The following is a 7,750-nucleotide window of genomic DNA, read 5'->3' on the forward strand; positions in this document are numbered from 1 at the left end:
TGAAATGTCATAGCTATTCCAGTAATTGAAGCATAAGACATATCCTATTTTTCTACTAGATACATTTTTAGGGCACACTCAGAACCAGTTTAAGACCTACATATCATGATTTAATTTAAGCCCTCTCAGAAAACTTTCTTTTCTCCAAGCTTTTCCCCACTGAACTTTACAATTTTCCTCACATTGGAGGCATGCTCATTTGGCCCTCTACATGCACACCTGTCACAGTTTAAGGTATTAAGGTGCAAGTGAATTTGTGGATCTTATGAGACTATGCTAATTGTGTTTTACATATTCATTGCCACTTGGCCTTAAGCAATCTCTTGTGGAAAGAGATCAGAAATGTCATTTTTTTATTGTTAATTAAGCTTATAAAATTTTCAAAATACAGAAAGGTAGAATAGTATACTGTGTGTCCCCATGTACCCATCACCCAAATTTAATGGTTGTCAATGTTTATCAACAGTTATTCACTTTGTTTAATTTATCACCTTACAAATTGTTTTTTAAGGCAAACGATTTCAGACTGGATGTGTAAATTTTGATGTAGATTAATTTTTTTTTTTTTTGAGATGGAGTCTTGCTCTGTTGCCCAGGCTGGAGTGCAGTGGCATGATCTTGGCTCACTGCAGCCTCCACTTCCAGGGTTCAAATGATTCTCGTGCCTCAGCTTCCTGAGTAGCTGGGATTGCAGGCATGCACCACCAGCTATTTTTGTTTTGTTTTGTTTTGTTTTGTTTTGTTTTGTTTTGTATGTTTAGTAGAGATGGGGTTTCACCATGTTGGCCAGGCTGGTCTCGAACTGCTGACCTCAAGTGATCCACCTGCCTCAGCCTCCCAGGGTGCTGGGATTACAGGTGTGAATCACCACACCTGGCCCGATGTAGAGGAATTAAAGCAAATTTCAGAGATGGGTCCCTGGCTGGGCAGTCTGACTAGCTGAGGGTGGTAGGTGGGGGTGCGGGGAGTAGGGGTATTGCCAGATGAAGGAGGCACTGGCCCAGGGATAGAGTACTGAAAGTTCAATGAATTTTTTAAAGTGTATATTTTCTGAGAAACAACTGATCTGACTGCAAACCAAAAAAAAAAAAAAGAAAAAGATCTTGTTCTCTTAAGGTTTTGTTTCATCTTAAGTTTAGGAAGATTGTGCTTGTATTCATGTATTGCAAGGTATTTATTTTAGACTCATAATACTCATAATTACATGGAGATCAAACATCCTGTTGTAAGCAGGATAGTAACTCCTTGGTTCTCAGTCCTCCAGTTTTACAGCATACTCCTTTTAAAGACCAAGGGCTATGATTTCATGGATTTTATTTTATTTTATTGGGATGGAGTCTCGCTTTGTCACCCAGGCTGGAGTGCAGTGGCGCCATCTCGGCTCACTGCAACCTCCGTCTGCTGGGTTCAAGCGATTCTCCTGCCTTAGCCTCCCAAGTAGCGCCCGCCACCACGCCTGGCTAATTTTTGTATTTTTTTAGTAGAGACTGGGTTTCACCATGTTGGCCAGGTTGGTCTCAAATTCCTGACCTCAAGTGATCCACCTGCCTCGGCCTCCCAAAGTGCTGGGATTACAGGTGCGAGCCACCGTGCCTGGCTGAATTGTAGCAAATACATTCAAAAGTTTCATCATCTTTTATATTCAGGAAAATTATTATTATTGGTTCAGTCCTCTTGTATTATGTAATTTGTTTCCAGTTCTTGGAAAAGTGGAGATTAGGCTCTTCGAGGACAGCTTTATTCCTTAAACATATCTCTCACAGCTTTTCTTTTTCCTCCTTTCTTTTTTTGAAAGAGTCTTGCTCTGTCACCCAGGCTGGAGTGCAGTGGCGTGATTCGGGCTCACTGCAACTTTCCCCTCCCAGGTTCAAGCCACTCTGGGCTGAAGCCTCCCAAGTAACTGGAATTACAGGTGCCCACCACGCCCGGCTAATTTTTGTATTTTTAGTAGAGATGGGGTTTCGCCATGTTGGGCAGGCTGGTCTCAAACTCCTGACCTGGAGTGATCCACCCACCTCAGCCTCCCAAAGTGCCGGGATCACACATGTGTCAGCCACCATTCCAGCCCAAATCTCTCACTAACTATTCAGCATACAGTCTCTCAGAGTTCCCTGTCTATTGTAAAATGTAACCGTAACCCAAGTGGATACCTTCTTCTTCCTGCTAAGGGTCGCCATTCACTAGCAAGTTTGGGAAGGGGGTTTGCTGCAGGACGGTGTGTGGGTTAGTCGCCGATGCACATGTGTCCCCCTTGCCCTCTGCAGCTTACAGCCCCGTCTGTGTCCCTTCAGTGGGATACTGATGTCGCCACGCTGGCCATGGTCTACAGGACGGTGATAGGAGGCCACACCTCCCTGTACTGCTGTGTTCCTGATGCCCCCAGTTTCTCCTGCCAGCCTCTCACTGAAGGTCTGGGTGACTGAGATTGTGCTTAAGACAGCACAGGACAGGAAACAATTGCACACTGGGTAACATGACGGGCTAAGATATTAAGAAAACAAACAAACAAACAAACCAGTGGGCTATTTCTTGATGTTTCTTGAGTTACTGTGGCCTCATCAGGAAAGAATAGTTTCTCTGTCCCTCCAACCAATCCAAGAAAGAGAGGCCGGTATTGTGTTTTGAAGGTCCCACTTCTTTTTTTTACTCCTCTTACTCCACCAGGGAAGTAAAGAGCTATTGTGACTCACATCCTTTGAGGGGGCTTTAAGCTGGACCACCTCTGAAGTGGAGGGGAAGAGGACCCAGACTTTAGCTTAAAGAGGGAGTATGGCCCATTCGTACCTCCTGCCAGGCAGAATCCCTGGTAGAATCACCTTCGAGGGGATAGGGTAGGGATTCCTGGGGGCTAAATGCCAAGATCCACAACCTTGAAAGCTGTATTAGTTGTCTAGGGCTGCTTTACCACAAACCACGCGACTTAAAACAACGGAAATGTGACATCTCATAGTTCTGGAGGCTAGAACTCCAAAAATGCCAGCAGAGCCATGCTCCCTCTGAAACCTGAAAGGCAATCCTTTGCCCCTTCCCAGCTTCTGATGGTATGCCAGCAATCTTTGGCATTCCTTGGTTTGCAGGTGCGCAACTCCCATCTCTGCCTTTGTAGTCACTGGTGTTCTCCCCGAGTGTCTGTCTTCACATGCACACCGGCTGTGTGCAAGTGACTGCAACAGGACCCCAGTCATATTGTATTAGGGGCCCACCCTATTCCAGTAAATAAGGTCACATTCTGAGGTACCAGGATTTAGTGCCACAAAATATCTTTTTGGGGGACATACACAACTCAACCCACCAAGAGCCACAGCACAAGATCCCTGTACCAAGCCTGGTATGGAGAAGGCAGCCACCCGCCTTTGAATGGGCCAAGCAGGCTTGGATGACTATGCCCAGCAGTGATTAGTGGTAGACCAGAAGCCCTCCCCCAAATTTCTAGATTGTGTAGGGACTTTTTTTTTTTTTTGAGACGGAGTCTTGCTTTTTTGCCTAGGCTGGAGTGAAGTGACATCTTAGCTCACTGCAACCTCTGCCCCCCTGGGTTCAAGTAATTCTCCTGCCTCAGCCTCTCAAGTAGCTAGGATTACAGGCACATGCCACTACATCCAGTTAATTTTTGTATTTTTAGTAGAAATAGGGTTTCATCATGTTGGCTAGGCTGGTCTTGAACTCCTGACCTCAGGTGATCCACCCGCCTCGGCCTCCCAAAGTGCTGGGATTACAGGCGTGAGCCACCGTGCCCACCTAGGGACACTTATACAACCTGGAAGAGGAGAAGGAAGCCACCCCCACTCCACTCCCACCCCACAAATAATATGACTGTGCTTGCAATTCTCTGGGGGGACTGATTTGGTGATTCTGCCCCTGCGTGTATGGGGGCATACTCAGGTGATTACACTTGGCATCCCTGTTTTTAACATACCCTGGGCCAGCCTGGTGCGGTGGCTCACACCTGTAATCCCAGCAATTTGGGAGGCCACGGTGGACAGATCACCTGAGCTCAGGAGTTCGAGGCCAGCCTGGCCAACTTGGTAAAATGCCGTCTCTACTAAAATTACAAAAAATCAGCCAGGCGTGGTGGCACTCACCTGTAGTCCCAGCTACTCTGGAGGCTGAGGCAGGAGAATTGCTTGAACCTGGGAGGCAGAGGTTGCAGTGAGCCAAATCATGCCACTGCACTCCAGCCTGGGCAACAAAGCAAGACTTCATCTCAACACAAAACAAAACCCAAAAAACAACAACAAATAACATACCCTGGACCATCTGCATTCTACTCATTTCTCACTGGCTGTTTTTTGTTTCCAAGTGCCTCATTCTTTTATTTACTTTTCACAGTTGCTAGTGTTCTACCCTTGTGATGGTTAATATTGAGTGTCAACTTGATTGGATTGAAGGATGCAAAGTATTGCTCCTGGGTGTGTCTGTGAGGGTGTTGCGGAAGGGGATTAACATTTGAGCCAGTGGACTGGGAGAGGCAGACCCACCCTCAGTCTGGGTGGACAACATCTAATCAGCTGCCAGCACTGCTAGAATAAAAGCAGGCAGAAGAACATGGACTACTAGACTGGCTGAGTCTTCTGGCCTTCATCTTTCTTCTGTGCTGGATGATTCCTGCCCTCAAACATCAGACTGCAAGTTCTTCAGCTTTGGACTCTTGGACTTATGCCAGTGGTTTGCCCGGGGCTCTTAGACCTTTGACCACAGACTGAAGGCTGCACTGTTGGCTTCCCTACTTTTGAGGTTTTGGGAGCTTGGACTGGTTTCCTTGCTCCTCAGCTTGCAGACTTCAAGTGGGACTTCACTTTGTGATCATGTGAGTCAATACTTTCTAATAAACTACCGTTGATATACACACCTATTCTATTAGCTCTGTCCCTCTAGAGAACCCTGACGAATACAGTCCTCATATTCCTCTCCTTTTATTTTCCCAATCAAAACATTTATGAAATATATGTGCATTGGCAAAAAAAAACTAAGGTTACTTCCTAGTCAAAAGTGCTACACACTCCTAGCCAGCATGCTTCGTAACAAAATATTATATTAACACTTAAAAAATACATCCTATATAAAATGTGTAGAGAGAACTTACTGCCTTACTGGCCCAGATAAGCAGCAGGGAAGGGATAGGAAAATGTTTTCCTCTCCTCTGTAGGGTTAGTGCCTAGGAGCTGAGAATATGGGGTGGGAGGGGGGGTCCAGATTTTTTTCTTCCAGTTATATAAAAATCAGAGAAGTGCCTCATTTCTGCTCAAATGCATTTGAAATATCATCACTGATAATTCCTTAGTTTTAAAACTAAAATCTGTCTGCAATATTTTAAATACCATAAATAGCAACCTCCCACTCAGAGACAAAATGGAAACCTCTCTATACTGTTCTGTAATCAGAGCATCTAGCACAGAGGAAAAATCCAAGAAGTAAGGTAAACTATAAAACTATATAAATAAACTATATCTACAAAACTATATAAATTATATAAATGCATATCAGTTACATTTGACAATACAACAAGTTATCAATAACATTGCTAAACCACTTTACTTATTGAATTTTTTTTTAAATTCCCCTTTAAACAGTGAGATGATGGGGCTGTAGGAAATGGACCTTCATCCCCATTTTAATAGAAAGTCATCAAGGCAGTTTTAGCAATCTGAATTGAGGATCAGTTTACAAGGAGAAAATCAATTTATGTTTAAGTGTGTGTGTATACACACACAGACACACACATATTCCCACACCCTCCCTGAGGGCTTTGAGTGATCCAATGTCTGAAAATATCCACAGCAAACTGAGGGAAAATTACTGTGGTTAATTGACTCATTTACTTAAACCTTTATTAGCCATAACTTATTAACGTATTAAATGCATTAAAAGACATGTCGAAAGCCAAGATAGGGGCCAGGCATGATGGCTCACACCTGTAATCCCAGCACTTTGGGAGGCCGAGACAGGCATATTACTTGAGGTCAGGAGTTCCAGACCAGCCTGGCCAACATGGTGAAACCCCATCTCTACAAAAATATAAAATTAGCCAGCCGTGGTGGTATGTGCCTTAATTCCAGCTGCTCAGGAGGCTGAAGCAGGAGAATCACTTGAACCCAGGAGGCAGAGGTTGCAGTGAGCCAAGATGGTGCCACTGCACTCCAGCCTGGGTGACAGAGTGAGACTCTGTCTCTAAATAAATAAAATAAAATAAAATAATGAAAGCCAAGATAGGCTGAAACTAGGCCTCTTGTGCCAAAGAGTTAGCGAAGATGTGAATGCAAAGGAAATTAAAAGTGCTACTGTAGTAAATAAAAAAAAAAAGATTAGAAAGCAAAACAATGTATTGCTGATATGGAGAAAATTGGAGTGGTCTAGACAGAAGAACAAACCAGCAACAACATTCCCTTAAACCAAAGCCTAACCCAGAGCAAGGCCCTAACTCTCTTCCATTTTTTTTTTTTTTTCTGAGATTGGGTCTCGCTCTGTCACCCAGGCTGGAGTGCAGTGGTGCAATCTTGGCTCACTGCAACCTCCACCTACTGGGTTCAAGCTATTCTCCTGCCTCAGCCTCCCAAATAGTTGGGACTACAGGCATGTGCCACCATGCCCAGCTAATTTTTAGTACAGACAAGGTTTCACCATGTTGGCCAGGCTGGTCTCCAACTCCTGGCCTCAAGTGATCCACCTGCCTTGGCCTCCCAAAGTGCTGGGATTACAGGTGTGAGCCACTGCGCTTCAATTTTGTCAAGGCTGAGAGAGGTGAGAAAGCTGCAGAAGAAAGGTTCAAAGCTAGCAAATGTTGGTTCATGCAGTTTAAGGAAAGAAGCTGTTTCCAGAACATAAAAGTCAAAGTGAAGTGGAAAGTGCTGATGGAAAAGCTGCAGCAAGTTATCCAAAAGACCTAGTAAAGATCACTGATGAAGGTGTCTACACTAAACAACAGATTTTCAATCTAGGACTTTCAAAGGTAGAGAGGAGAAGTCAATGCCTGGCTTCAAAGAACAGGCTGAGTCTCTTGTTAGGAACTAATGCAGCTGGTGCCTTGAAGTTGAAGCCAATAGTCATTTACCTTCCCTACAATACTAGGGCACTCAAGAATTATGCTAAATCGACTCTGCCTGTGCTTCATTAGTGGAACAACAAAGCCTGGATGACAGCACATCTGTTTACAGCACAGTCTCTTGTATATTTTAAACCCACTGTTGAGACATATAGCTCAGAAAAAAAGATTCCTTTCCTAATATTACTGCTCACTGACAATGTACCTAGTCACCCAAGAGCTCTGATTTAGATGTACAAGGAGATTAATGTTGTTTCAATACCCACAACACAACATCCATTCTGCAGCTTTCAAGTCTTATTATTTTAAAAATACATTTTGTAAGGCTATAGCTGCCATAGATAGTGATTCTTCTGATGGATCTGGGCAAAGTAAATTTAAAAGCTTCTGGAAAGGATTGACCATTCTAGATGGCAGTGAGAACATTCATTATTCATGGGTGGAGGTCAAAATATCAACATGAACAGAAGTTTTGAAGAAGTTGATTCCAACTTTCATGGATAACTTTGAGGGGGTCAAGATTTCAGTGGAGGAAGTAACTGCAGGTATGGTAGAAATAGCAAGAAAACTACAATTAGAAATGGGCCTTAAGATGGAACTAAATTGCTGCAATCTCATGATCAAACTTGAATGAAGAGTTGCTTCTTATGAATGAGCAAAGAAAGTGGTTTCTTGAGATAGAATGTACTGCTGATGAAGATGCTGTGAACG

General features: G+C 43.8%; 1 annotated feature.

Moving 5' to 3' along the window:
* Positions 4,568 to 4,769: a silencer, noted in NCBI's record as "fragment chr6:71326667-71326868 (GRCh37/hg19 assembly coordinates)". NCBI's record gives its function as "represses an EF-1alpha promoter that drives an FKBP-Casp9 reporter gene in an ReSE screen in K562 erythroleukemia cells {active_cell/tissue: K562}" and the evidence as "EXISTENCE:reporter gene assay evidence [ECO:0000049][PMID:32094911]".

Source organism: Homo sapiens, chromosome 6, assembly GCF_000001405.40.
Source record: "Homo sapiens chromosome 6, GRCh38.p14 Primary Assembly".
Taxonomy (NCBI): Eukaryota; Metazoa; Chordata; class Mammalia; order Primates; family Hominidae; genus Homo; species Homo sapiens.